Source organism: Homo sapiens, chromosome 19 (assembly GCF_000001405.40).
Source record: "Homo sapiens chromosome 19, GRCh38.p14 Primary Assembly".
In the NCBI taxonomy this organism is placed as follows: domain Eukaryota; kingdom Metazoa; phylum Chordata; class Mammalia; order Primates; family Hominidae; genus Homo; species Homo sapiens.
Window position 1 is genome coordinate 21,218,898 of NC_000019.10, and position 15,080 is coordinate 21,233,977.

Sequence of the window (15,080 nt, forward strand, 5' to 3'; positions counted from 1 at the left end):
CATGGTGAAACCCAATCTCAACTAAAAATACAAAAAGAAAAAAAAAAAAGTTAGCCAGGCCTGGTGGCACAATACCTGTAATCCCAGCTACTCTGGAGGCTAATGCAGGAGAATTGCTTGAACCTGGGAGGTAGAGGTTGCAGTGAGCCGAGATCATGCCACTGCACTCCAGCCTGGGTGACAAACGTGAGACTCCATCTCAAAAAGAAAAGAAAAGAAAAGCCTAAGATTTTACTAAAAACTATTAAAAATAAACAAATTTATTAAGCTTTCAAAATACAAAAGTAACATCAAAGTCAGTAGCATTTCTACACATTAACTATCTCAAAATGAAAATTAAAAAACAATTTCATATACAATAACTATAGTAGTAAATTCAATACAAAGCAGAGAGTATACATTTGCTTTCAGCATTTTTGAGGCTTTTAGTTTTATACTAGTTACCTTGTTAAAATAATTTTTCCAATATTTCTTATGAAAATAAGTACAAACTTATACTAACACAGACTTACTTACTCCATCATTTCCTTACACCTAAAGTTTATCTCTACAGTAATGTATATTTAACCCTCTGTATATCAAACCTAAAAGTCTGTATGTGTTTGCAGGCAGACAGGACACAAGTTCAAATATATATATGTTTAAAATTTTAAGATATGTACTCAGAACTCAGAAATGTATGTATTTAATTTATACTTGCATATGATTTCTATAATAACCATAAAAATATCCCAGTAGTCAATAATAATTTAATCGTACTTTATTTTTTATTTCTTTTTTTGCTTGAGATGGAGTCTTGCAGTGTCACCTGGGTTGGAGTGGAGTGGTGCAATCTCAGCTCACTGTAACCTCCACTTCCCAGGTTCCTGGCCATCTCAAACTCCTAATCTCAGGTGATCCATCCGCCAGGGCCTCCCAAAAGTGCTGGGATTACAGGCGTGAGCCACTGCACCCGGCCATAATTGTACATTTTAAAATAAGTAAAAGTGTACAATTGGATTGTTTGTAATACAAAGGATAAATGCTAGAGGTGATGGATACCACATGTATCTCGATGTGAGTATTATGTATTGTATTTGTGTATCAAAATATGCCATATATGCCATAAGTATATACACTCATGTACCCACAGAAATTAAGAAAAACAAATTAAATGATTAAGAATAAAAATTTAACCTACAGGAACAATATTCTTTAACTTATTTGCAGTTTAAAGCCACTGGCAAAAGAGATGACTAAAGATGTTAGTCCATTATGTTACCAAATAGTATATTGTTAACATTTTTTACCTATATTTTTGGGCAAAGTGGAAAAGGTTAATCTTTGTGGTAAAATAACACTTCATTGAATGCACAATAGTATTTAACATGTTAAAAATGTTGAAACGATTAACTTCACACATAATCTAAAATTTTTAAAATGTACTGCATTTTATCATATAAAAGTACAATTAGTACAATATATGAATAATATACTACTAGTTTTCTCGTAATGCAAAGAATATCACTCTTAACACCTACCTCGTGCATCACTCAATAGTGTAAGTTAACCACAAAGAATCTCTCCACTTAGATTTTCATCATGCATCTTACATTCTAATATCCTTACTTGTACATAGAAAAGATCATAAATAATGCCCACCTAATGAAAAAGAATCTCTCATACCTTTGATGCAGCAAGAAATGATCACAAACTTTCACAAGTGAATAAGAATGAAGAAACAGCAGAAAATAATGACAGTTGAATTACATCATTTGCTTTCAAAAAATCTGTAATTTTTTCAAGAAATAAAGTATACTTTGAATGTAGTTATTACTCTGCAAAAAACTTTTACTCCTCTTAAAGTTATATACAAATAATTTTTATACCAACTTTAGTTTTAGATTATTTTCTATACTCAGAACTCTGATTTAGTATAACATCTGAAGTGTCAGTTCCTTATATATTTCTACTATAAATTCTCTGATATTTATGTAGACTTAAATTTGAATTAAATTTTTTTTTTCATTTTTACTGCATTTTCAAAAACATATTGTAGTATAAACTCTGGTGTTTTCTAAGCTGTAGTTTTTGAAAATTTGTTTTCCCAAATTTATTACATTTGCAAGACAACTCTTCAATATAAATTCCCTGATGTTGAACAAAGTTTAAGCAACTCCTTTAGAGTTTTCCTCTAGTACAAAATGTGGACAATAAGATCTGATACAAGTAAAGCTACTACAACCCTCTTTACACGTGTAATGCTCATCTTCAATATAAATCCTCTTCTTCACTTTAAAGAATAAGATTTTCTGAAAGGTCTTTTGACGGTAATTGCACTTATCATGCTTTTAGTAAGTATTAACTCTCTGGTGTTAGTAAGATGTGAGCAGATATTAATGTCTTTTTCACAGTCTATATTTGTACAATTTTTCTCAAATATGAATGCTTTTCTCTGCAATAAGGTGTGAGTATTAGTTAAAAATTTTGCCACCTTGTTCTCACTTGTAGGAATTTTTTCCACTATGAATTATATCACCTATAATCAAGTATGACAACCATTTAAAGACTTTGTCACATTCTTCACATTTCTAGGATTTCTCAGCAATATGATTTCTCTTATGGTTAGAAAAGTTTGAGGTATTGTCAAAAGCATTATCACATCTTTCTGATTTGTAGAGTTTCTCTCCAGTATGAATTATCTTATGTGTGTTAAGAACTGAGGACTAGCTAAAGCCTTTGCCATATTTTTCACACTCATGGGGTTTCTCTCCAATATGAATTTTCTTATGTTTATTAAGAATTGAGGACTGGTTAAAGGCTTTGTCACATTCTTCACATTTGTAGGGTTTCTCTCCTGAATGAATTATTTTGTTCAATAAAGTTTTAGGACTGGTTAAAAGCTTTGCCACATTCTTCACAGTTGTAAGCAGCTTATGTTATGTTTAGTAGGAGTTGAGGACTGGATAAAGGCTTTACCACATTCTTCACATTTGTAAGATTTTTCTCCAGTATGAGTTATGCTTAGTAAGTTTTGAGGATTGGTTAAAAGCTTTGCCACATTCTTCATATTTGTAGGGTTTCTCTCCAGCATGAATTAACATATGTGTAGTAAGGGTTGATGATTGGTTAAAATGTTTGCCACATTTTTCACATTTGTAGGGCTTCTCTCCAGTATAAGTTATCTTATGTGCAGTAAGTTGGGGGGACAGGTTAAAGGCTTTGCCACATTCCTCACATTTGTAGGTTTTCTCTCCAGTATGAATTATCTTATGTTTAGTAATGGATGAAGATTTGTTAAAAGCTTTGCAAGATTTTTCATATTTGTATAATTTCTCTCCCTTATGAATTATTTTATGTTTAGTAAGGTATGAGAATCAGTAAAAAGCTTTGAGACATTCTTCATATTTGTAGGATTTCCAGCATGAATTATCTTATATGTAGGCAAGATTGAAAAGTGGTTAAAAGCTTTGTCACATTTTACACATTTGTAGGATTTCTGTATGGTATGAATTCTTTTATGTTTAGTAAGGGTCGAGGACCAATTAAAGCCTTTGCCACATTCTTCACATTTGTAGAATTTCTCTCCAGTGTGAATTTTCTTAAGTTTAGTAAGTATGAGAATCAATAGAAACCTTTGCCACATTCTTCACATTTGTAGGGTTTCTCTCCAGCAGGAATTATCTTATGTGTAGTAAGGTTTAAGTACCGTTTAAAAGCTTTTCCACATTCTTTAGTAAGGGAAGAGGACCAGTAAAGCCCTTTGCCACATTCTTCACATTTGTAGAATTTCTCCTCAGTATGAATTCCAATATGAATGACCTTATGTCTACTAAGGTATGAGGACCACTTAAAAGCTTTGCCACATTTGGCTGGGTGCAGTGGCTCAAGCCTGTAATCTCAGGACCTTGGGAGGCCAAGGCGGGCAGATCACGAGTTCAGAAGATTGAGACCATCCTGGCTAACATGGTGAAACCCTGTCTTTACTAAAAATACAAAAAATTAGCTGGGCGTGGTGGTGGCGGCCTGTAGTCCCAGCTACTCAGGAGGCTGAGGCAGGAGAATGGCGTGAACCCGGGAGTGGAGGTTACAGTGAGCCTAGATCATGCCACTGCACTCCAACCTGGGGGACACAGCAAGACTCTGTGTCAAAAAAAAAAAAAAAAAAAAAGGAAAGAAAGAAAAAAAGATGAATTATTTCCTTTAACTAAAAAATAAACACAAAATTTCAGAAAAGACACATTTGAAGAACATGTTTAAGAGACTCTCAGAATCTCTAACTCAGACAATTGTTCAAGGTATGCCAGGGGAAAGCCACATTATAAAGATTGGGACAGGTAAGTTTTTTTAATATTCAAATTTGAATAAAAGATTATGATGTGGCCAGGCGCAGTGGCTCACACCTGTAGTTCCAGCACTTTGAGAGGCCGAGGCGGGCATATCACCTGAGGTCAGGAGTTCAAGACCAGCTTGACCAACATGAAGAAACCCCATCTCTACTAAAAATACAAAATTAGCCAGGCATGGTGACGGGCATCTGTAATCCCAGCTACTAGGGAGGCTGAGGCAGGAGAATCGCTTGACTGGGAGGCGAGGTTGCGGTGAGCTGAGATCATGCCATTGCACCCCAGCTTGGGCAAGAAGAGGAAAATTCCATCTCAAAAAAAAAAAAAAATTACAATGTATATAAAATAGGGCAATGTGGTTCCATTAAAAATAATATAAAATTTTCAGAAAGAAACAATAACAAATGTTTACATTAGTTTTAAAAATTGAAAATAAATTGAATAATACCCAATGAGTGAAAAAAGAACACAGAGAACTATAGGATATCAGAAAACTGGAAATAAGAATAAAAATACTTAAAATATTAGAAAAAAGAAATTATGGAGGTAAAAAATATATAAAGAATAACTGAAAAATCTTTAAAAAAAGACATAAAAATGAAGAAGCTCAACAAACAAACTAGGATACACACAAAGATATTTATATCAAACACATACATAAGCACAATTTTAAAAGTCACAGAAAAGGGAATCTTGGGAGCTGCAAGATAAAAGTGATGTGTTGGCTGGGCATGGCAGCTCTCACCTGTAATCCCAGCACTTTGAGAGACCGAAGCAGGCAGATCACCTGAGGTCAGGAGTTCAAGACCAGCCTGTTCAACATGGAGAAACCTGTCTCTACTAAAAATACAAACTTAGCCGGGCGTAGTGGCACATGCCTGTAATAGCAGCTACTCGGGAGGCTGAGGCAGGAGAATCGCTTGAACCAAGGCGGCAGAAGTTGCAGTGAGCTGAGATCACAAAATTGCAATCAGCCTGGGCAAACAAGAGCAAAACTCAGTCTCAAAAAAAAAAAAAAATGGTGATGTGTTATTTGCAAGAATACTCTTATGGGATATCCAATGGATTCTCAACAAAAATTTTGCAGGCCAGAAGGAAACTGCATGATATATTTAAGGTTCAAAAAAAATCAAGTGAGTATAATACCATCACCAAATCTGTCCTTCCAAATAAAAAGAAAAAAACCTCAAAAATAACTAAATTCTAAAACAGTATATTGGCACTGCCTTACATATAAAAGGTGCTGAAAGCAGTCGCTTCCAATGAAAATAACATGATTCAACAAAACAACACATAATCATATTAAAATACATTATTTTCTGGGAAAGATGTGTACATACACAAAAATAAATTTCTTAGCACAAAGAATACATCTATATAGATACACAAAATAAGAAAGAAGAAAAAGCATATCAAAATCAAAATAAAAAAGACACAAAGAGACAGAAAGAGAGAAAATGTGGGACACAGGTACAAGAATCAAATAGAAAAATAAACAAATATTAGTCTCTTTGTTTAAGAAAACTTTCCAATCAAGAGTTATACTTTCAATAAAGAAATTTATTTACAATTATTAAAAACCAAGATCCAATTTGCCTTTCTACAAGGGTCAGCTGACATCTAATGATAAAAAAGATACTGAAGGTGGCAAGATGGATTTAGACATTGGATGCAAATATTAACCAAATGAGAGCAGAAGAGGTCAAAATAGTATTACAAAAGCTACATCTTAAGTCAAAAACTGTTATATTTTATATAAAGTACTTTAAGTCAAAACAGCAAAGAGGCAAAGGACATTAAACAATAATAGATATATTTACTGGGAACCTATTGCAAATTTGTGTGCGTGTGTGTGTCTGTATTTCACACCAAGTTTTCAAATATATAAAGCAAATATTGACAGACAGGAAGAAACACCTAAACAGCAATATAATTATAGTAGGAAATTTCAATACCCTACTTTCTGTAATAAAAATAAAACAAGACAGAATATTAGTAAGTGAAGAGAGGAATTGAAGGCAGTATAATACAATTATTTTTAACAGTGGAATAGACAAGAGCCCTCAACAATATCAGGAAACACATTCTTATGAATAGCTTATACAACATTCTTTTTGATAGACCACCTGTTAGGCCAAAAAAAGGAGTCTTGAAAATTTGTTAAAATTGACATTTTGTGGATTACATTCTATAACCAAAATGGAATGTAAGTATAGAACAGAAAAAAAAATTAAAAATGTACAAATATATAGATATTTAACAACACACTCTTCAGCATGCTCCTGTTCAAAAGTTGAAATATTTTGAAGATGTCCATAATGCTCAATGTAATCTACAGATTTAATGCAATGGTTTCTTTTGTTTTGTTCTGTTTTGTTTTGTTTTGTTTTGTTTTGTTTGGAGATGGAGTCTTGCTCTGTCACCCAGGCTGGAGTGCAGTGGTGCGATCTCAGCTCACCGCAACCTCTGCCTCCCAGGTTCAAGCGATTCTCCTGCCTCATCCTCCTGAGTACTGGGACTACAGGTATATACCACCATACCTGGCTAATTTTTGTATTTTTAGTAGAGATGAGGTTTCATCATACAGGCCAGGCTGGGTTCGAAATCCTGTCCTCATGATCCACCTGCCTAAGCCTCCCAAAGTGCTGGGATTACAGGCGTGAGCCCCCACACCATGCAATAAAATGTTTTTAAAAATTTCTCATTCCATTTTTGAGGAAATAGAAATAGCAATCTCAAAAGTATATAGACTATCAAGAGAAAATGAAGTACCCAACAGTCTTCAAAAGAAGAAACAATGTTAAAGGCATTACAATTTCTGATTTGAAAACACATTACAAAGCTACAGAGTTAAAACAATTTGGGGGCTGAGCACAGTGGCTCATGCCTGTAATCCCAGAACTTTGGGAGGTCAAGGCAGCAGGATCACAATGAGGTCAGGAGTTTTAAACCAGCCTGGCCAACATGGTGAAACCCAGTCTCTACTAAATATGCAAAAATTAGCTGAGTGTGGTGGCAGGCACCTGTAATCCCAGCTACTCAGGAGGCTGAGGCAGAAGAATCACTTGAACCCAGGAGGTGAGGTTGCAGTGAGCCATGATCATGCCGTCATGCCATTGCAACCCAGCCTGGGTGACAAGAGTGAAACTCTGTCTCAAAAAAAAAAAAAAGAATAAAGAAAAAGCAAGAAAATAGACTTTAAAAAAATCTGTATGAGTATAGTCATTAAAAAGTGAACTAATAAAATAGGCAGCACTTATATAAACTTTCATATACATGATCATATGAAGAGTTATTTGCATACCCATAATTATTGCAGCATTGTTACTGAAAGCCAACAGGTAGAAGCAATTCAAATTTCTGTAACAAAATTATTCAGTAGATGTAATTTGAAATAGAAAAATACCATATTATCATCCAGAATTTTATAAGCAGGAAATACTCTAATACTCTTTATAGATAAATTTTGACATTATGCAAAATGAAATGAGTCAGCCACAAAAAGATAGAAATTGTAAGAAATATATGAAGCAGTTACACTCTTAGAAAAAGAAAACAGAATGGTGTTTGGAAAATTCAGAAAACCAGAAAAATTGGTTGTTGTTTAATGTGTATTGAGATTTCGTTTTGAAAGATAAAAACATTTTAGAGATATGTTGCATAACATTGTCAATATAATATGACTAAACAGAATATTAAAAAATATTTGATAATAAATTTTGTTATGTTTTTGACAAGTAAAACTAATACCTAAAAATATAGAGTTATGAGAGTTTTAATATTATCTTCAAATCCCAAAGTGTTCCTTACACACAAAAATAATATAGATTCACAATAGACATTGAAATTAGGAGAATTTTTACGACTGCTCACCTAGACAAGATTGAACAACCATTTACAACAAACCTACATAACAAATATACAAGTTATTTTAAAAACAGCAATAATATTTATAGAGGGAAACAAACATAGAGGTAATGATATTGGAAGCAGACATATGGCTGATTCGTAGTTGATTTTGCTCAACACTGTCTTAAATTGTACAGAGTTAAACATTGTCATACAGAATTATAATATAAATCAAAACAACAAAACACAATTAACTGGTTTGAGGTGGCATACCCTGAAATACATAACAAAAAATATAATATTGCCAAAGAAAATTAAAATTTAGAATGTAAAAATTATTGGACACCATCAAGTAGATCAATATATTCATGAAAGGAATCTTAAAGCCATATATAAAATAAAGCACTCTATTAAATATAAATATAAAGACACACATAGAATGTTTTACTGTCATAATGATGGTACATAAAACCTTTGAAGTTCTTCTATAGATATAAAAAAAACATAAATCTGCACAAATCTGTTAATAGATACAAAATAAGATAACATAATTTGTAATACCTATAACAAACTGGAAAATATAGCAGTATAGCTTTTGTATTTAATTAATGTTATTATGAGATTAAAAGATACTGTTTTAACTTTAAGGTGTTTTATATAATCTCCAGTTTTCAAGATGGTTACAATATACTTCAAGATGATTACATTATATTATAGGAAGTATGCAAAACAAAATTTTAAAAATCACACCATGTCACAACAAAGTTAAACAAAAATTATGATAGTAAAACAGGTAATGAGAAAAAACATGTCTGCAAGAAACACATAAAACAGTAACAGTGAGGTGGTTCCTGTAGATCAGTAGACTTAGTCTTTCCCTCTGCTGGCTCTGAGGAATCTGGGCAGTACAGATGTATGGAATCTCCCCCTGTGCAGCACACCCCCTACACCAAGGAGCAACCAGAGTGCTTTGTTAAGTGGTTCCTGGATCTTGTGCATCCTGACTTGGTGAGAACCCCCCCCTCAAAAGGTGGTGTCAGGCAACTTATAAAGGAGTGTTCCCATTGTCATCAGGTTGGTGCCCTTCTGGGAACAGGCCTTAAAGAAACTGGCCATAAACTGGATTTCTGCAGCAATGTGACATGCTCATGATGGCTATAATGCACACTGCTAGAAGTTGTTGGTTTACTGGAGCAGGCAAGGAACATCTGGCCTGCCCGGAGCAGAAAACTGCTCAAACCACACACAATAGCAGGAGCAGCCTGTGCCTTAACAACATGTTTTTGCTACAGATAATCAGCCAGAGCCTGTTTCTCTACTCTTTGCTAAGAATGCTTTGTTTCCCATAAGGAATGCTTTTAGCTAATCTATAGCCTATAGAAACAATGCTTATTACTGGCTTGCTGTCAGTAAATATGTAGGTCAAACTCAGTTTGTGGCTCTCAGCTCTAAAGGATGTTGCCCCTCTGACTCCCACTCTGCACTCTATTTCTGTGTCTTTGTCTTAATTCCTCTAGCACCACTGGTTTAGGGTATCCATGACTGAGCTGGTCTCAGTAGTGTCCCTCTGGGATTAAGATCTCAGAGAAAGGAGGAGACAGTCATCTCTGCTGTTCTGCAGCCTCCACTGGTGACACCTCCAGGTGTGAGAGAAACCCAGACAAATAGAGTCTGAAGCGGATTCCAAGCAAATGACAGCAGCCCCACAGAAGAAGAGCCTGACTGTTAAAAGTAAAACAAAAAGACAGAAAGCAACAACAACAACAGCACCAACAAAAAAGTCCCCAAAAACCCTATCCAAAGGTCAGCAGCCTCAAAGATCAAAGCTAGATAAACTCATGAAGATGAGAAGAATCAACAAACAAATGCTGAAAACTCAAAAAGCCAGAGCCCCTCTTCTCCAAATGATCACAACATATCTCCAACAAGGGCACTGAACTGGGTGAAGGCTGAAATGGATAAATTGGCAGAAGTAGTCTTCAGAAAATGGGTAATAATAAACTTTGCTGAGCTAACAAAGCATGTTCTAAGCCAATGCAAAGAAGCTAAGAATCATAAAAAACTACCTTAGAGAGAAACAGAAATGACCTGAGGGAACTGAAAAACACAACATGAGAACTTCATAATGCAACCAATAGTATCAATAACTGAGTAGACCAAGCAGAGGAAAGAATTTCAGAGCTTGAAGACTAGCTTGCTGAAATAAGACAGGCAGACAAGATTAAAAAAGAATAAAAAGGAATGAACAAAATCTCTGATAATTATAGGATTATGTAAAATGATCAAAACTATGACTGTTTGGGGTACCTTAAAGAGATCAAGAGAATGGAACCAAGTTGGAAAACATACTTCAGTGTATCATCCAGAAGAACTTTTCCAACCTAACACGACAGGCCAACATTCAAATTCAGAAAATCCAAAGAACCTCAGTAAGATGTTTCATGAGAAAATCAACCCCAACACACGTAATCATCAGGTTCTTCAAGGTTGAAATGCAGGAAAAAATGATATGAACAGCCAGAAAGAAAGGCCAGGTCACCTACAAAGGGAAGCTCATCAGACTAACAGTGGAATTCTAAGCAGAAATGTTGCGGGAAGTCAGGGACCCCGAACAGAGGGACTGGCTGAAGCCATGGCAGAAAAACATAAATTGTGAAGATTTCATGGACATTTATCACTTCCCCAATCAATACTCTTGTGATTTCCTATGCCTGTCTTTACTTTAATCTCTTAATCTCATCATCTTCATAAGCTGAGGATGTATGTGGCCTCAGGACCCTGTGATGATTGTGTTAACTGCACAAATTGTTCATAAAGCATGTGTGTTTAAACAATATGAAATCTGGGCACCTTGAAAAAAGAACAAGATAACAGCAATGTTCAGGGAACAAGGGAGATAACCCTCAGGTCTGACTGCCTGAGAGCCAGGTGGAACAAACCATATTTCTCTTCTTATGAAAGTGAATAGGAGAAATATCACTGAATTCTTTTTCTCAGCAAGGAACAGCCGTGAGAAAGAGAATGCACTCTTAGGGGGAGGTCTCTGAAATGGCCGCTCTGGGAATGTCTGTCTTACACAGTTGTAGATAAGGGATGAAATAAGCCCCGGTCTCCCATAGCACTCCCAGGCCTATTAGGATGAGGAAATTCCCACCTAGTAAATTTTAGTCAGACAGTTTGTCTGCCCTCAAACCCTGTCTCCTGATAAGATGTTATCAATGACAATGTGTGCCTGAAACTTCATTAGCAATTTTAATTTTGCCCCATTGCTCTGCCCCTATTTGCCTTGTGACATTTTATTGCCTTGTGAAGCATGTGATCCCTGTGACCCACACCCTATTCATACACTCCCTCCCCTTTGAAAATCACTAATAAAAACTTGCTGGTTTTGCAGCTTAGGGGGCATCATGGAACTTGCCGACATGTGATGTCTCCCACAGACACCCAGCTTCAAAATTTCTGTCTTTTGTACACTTTCCCTTTATTTCTCAGACTGGCTGACACTTAGGGAAATAGAAAAGAACTTATGTGAAATATTAGGGGTGGTTCCCCTGATACAGAAACCTTACAAGCTATAAAGATTGGAGGCCAATATTCAACATTCTTAAAGAAAATAATTTCCAACCAAGTATTTCATATTCTGCAAAATTACACGTTATAAGTTAAGGAGAAATAAAATCCTTGTCAGACAAACAAATGCTGAAGAAATTTGTCACCACCAGACCTGCCTTGAAAGAACTCCTGAAAGAAGGACTAAATATAGAAAAGAAAAAGAATTACCAGCCACTGCAAAAATACACTGAAGTACAAAGACTAATGACACTGTGAAACATCAACAAGTCTGCAAAATAACCAGCTAGAATGATGAAAAGGATCAAATTCACACAAAACTATATTAACCTTAAATGTAAATGAGTTAAATGCACCAAGAAAAGAGACAGAATGGCAAGCTAAATAAAAAGTCAGGACTCATTGGTGTGCTGTATTCAAGAGACCCATGTGTCACATGCAAAGACACAAATAGGCTCAAAATAAAAAAAGGAGGAAAATTCACTAAGCAAATAAAAGCAGAAAAAAAAGCAGAGGTTGCAATCATAGTTTCTGACAAAACAGACTTTAAACCAACAAAGACCAAAAAAGATAAAGAAGAGCATTACATAATGCTAAAATAATCAATTCAAGGAGCACCCAGATTAAACAAGCACATTCTTAGAGACCTACAAAAAGACTTAGATTGCCACACAACAATAGTGGGAGACTTTAACACCTCACTGCCAATATTAGACAGATAATTGAGAAAGAAAAGTAACATGGATATTCAGAACTTGAACTCAGCTCTGGGTCAAGTGAACCTGATAGATATCTACAGAACTCTCCAGTCAAAAACAACACAATACACATTCTTATAAGTGCCATCTTTTAGATGGAGTCTTGCCTTGTTGCCCAGGTGAAAATGGCTGGAATGCAATGGTGTGATCTGAGCTCACTGCAACCTCCACCTCCAGGGTTCAAATGATTCTCCTGCCTCAGTCTCCTGAGCATCTGGGATTACAGGTGCATGTGACCACACCCAGCTAATTTCTTTTATCTTTAGTAGAGATGGGGTTTCACCATGTTGGCCAGACTGGTCTTGAACTCCTGATCTTGTGATCCACCCATCTTGGCCTCTCAAAGTGCTGGGATTACAGTAAGTGTGAGGTGAAGAAGTCAGGTTCTTTGAATAAACCAGCTCTCATTTGAATTAATGGAGTGAAAACTTTCTGATTATCAAAAAGATAGTGTCAAGGCATTTATGAGGTATTTTTCCCCTTAACAGACATGTACAAAACTTTCTACTTAAAAGTCAAAGAATACAAAATATTCTTATTTGCACATGACGTATTCAGTTAGGAAATATAACAAGTCTTATTAAATAATAACAGCTGGGGGTAGTGGCTAACATCTATAATTCCAACAATTTGGAAGATGAAAGTGAGGGAGTCAGTTGGGACCAGAAGTTTGAGACCAGCCTGGATAACATAGTGAGACCCTGTCCCTACAAATAATAAAAAAATTAGCCAGGCATGGTTGTGAATGTCTGTAGTCTCAGCTACTTGGGACGTTTAGGTAAAAACGTCATTTGAGTCAAGGAGGCTGAGGTTGCAGTGAGCCAAAATTATGCCACTATACTCCAGCCTGAGTGACAAGTTTGATCCTTTCTCAAAATGACAACAACAAATAAATTTAAAACCAAAATCATACATGTGTGTTTTCTTAACAAAACTGAATGAAACTAGAAATTAAAAGCAAAAGTAATAATGGCAAATCCAAGAATATATAAAATTGAAACACACAGGCTGAGTACAGTGGCTCCCAACCTCTAATACTGGCATTTTGGGAGGCTGAGGCAGGAGGATTTCTTGAGCCCAGGAGTTTGAAATTAGCCTGGGCCACATAGGAAATCCTTATCAAAAAAAAAAAAAAAAAGAAAGAAAGAAAGAAAAAGAAAGAAAACTAAAAAAACACACTCTTCATCTCTTCATCATATTCTTGCTCAGGGGTCAAAAAATTTAATTGTGTTAAAATGTCAATACAACCTACAGTGGTGAACATATTAAGTATATTCTCTATAAAAATCACAATAGCGCTGGGCATGGTGGCTCACGTCTGTAATCTCAGCATTTTGGGAGGCCGAGGTGGGTGGATCATGAGGTCAGGAGTTCGAGACCAGCCTAACCAACATGGTGAAACCCCGTCTCTACTAAAAATACAAAAATTAGCCAGGCGGGGTGGCAGGCACCTGTAATCCCAGCTACTTGGGAGACTGAGGCAAGAGAATCACTTGAAATGGGAAGGCAGAGGTTGCAGGTTGCAGTAAGATGAGATCATGCCACTGCACTCCAGCCTGGGCAAAAGAGCAAAACTCCATCTTAAAAAAAAAATCACAATGGCACAGTTTTATTACAGAAATATTGCTTAATATTTTAAAATTTGATTATAAACTATAACTAGCAAAACACCCATGAAAAAGAACAAAGAGACATTATACTTTCTGATTTTAACACATTAAAAGTTGCAATAAAAAAGTATGATACATACACAAAGGAAGATAAAAAGATGAAAGAACAGAATAGAGAGCCCAGAAATGAAGCCTTCTGTATATGATTACATGATCTCTTGCAAAGTTGCCATAAGCACACAATAGAGAAAAGATGATCAGTCTTCTCAAAAAATAATGTTAAAAACTTACTATCGCTTTCCATGCTGACAGCACTCACACAAACATGGCGAATGTCCCTAAAACCCACTGGACTTTCTGTAAGAAGTGTGGCAAGCACCAACCCCACAAAGTGACACAGTACAAGAAGGGCAAGGATTCTCTGTATGCCCAGGGAAAGCAGCATTATGACAGGAAGCAGAATGGCTATGATGGGCAAACTAAGCCGATTTTCCAGAAAAAGGCTAAAACTACAAAGAAGATTGTGCTAAGTCTTGAGTGCATTGAGCCCAAATGCAGATCTTAGAGAATGCTGGCTATTAAAAGATGCAAGCATTTTGAACTGGGAGTAGATAAGAGAAAGGGCCAAGTGATCCAGTTCTAAAGTGTCATCCTTTATTATGAAGACAATAAAATCTTGAATTTATGTTAAAAAAAAACTGAATATCAACACTGATAAAATAAAGTTACATCATTTCCTTGAACCATATACAAAAAATTTACAAAAAAAATACTTAAATGTGTTGCAGGCCAAAAAAGTGAGGGTCATGATCCATGATCAACTCAGTGTACCACTGGAGGCTATATGAGTAAACAGCAAGCTGTTCTCATGAATGCAGAATGTTGGCAAACCGACAAACTGCATGTGCCACCCAGAGGTTATGCTGAGGGCAGTCACACCCCAGGCACAAATGTTTCATGTGATTAGG

General features: G+C 35.6%; 1 pseudogene, besides 1 other annotated feature; it reads left to right on the forward strand.

Moving 5' to 3' along the window:
• Window positions 2,588-3,183: an enhancer, noted in NCBI's record as "OCT4-NANOG hESC enhancer chr19:21404287-21404882 (GRCh37/hg19 assembly coordinates)". NCBI's record gives its function as "activates a minimal SCP1, AML or CMV promoter by ChIP-STARR-seq in primed H9 embryonic stem cells {active_cell/tissue: H9 hESC(primed)}" and the evidence as "EXISTENCE:reporter gene assay evidence [ECO:0000049][PMID:30033119]".
• Window positions 14,409-14,801, forward strand: RPL36AP51 (ribosomal protein L36a pseudogene 51; annotated as a pseudogene).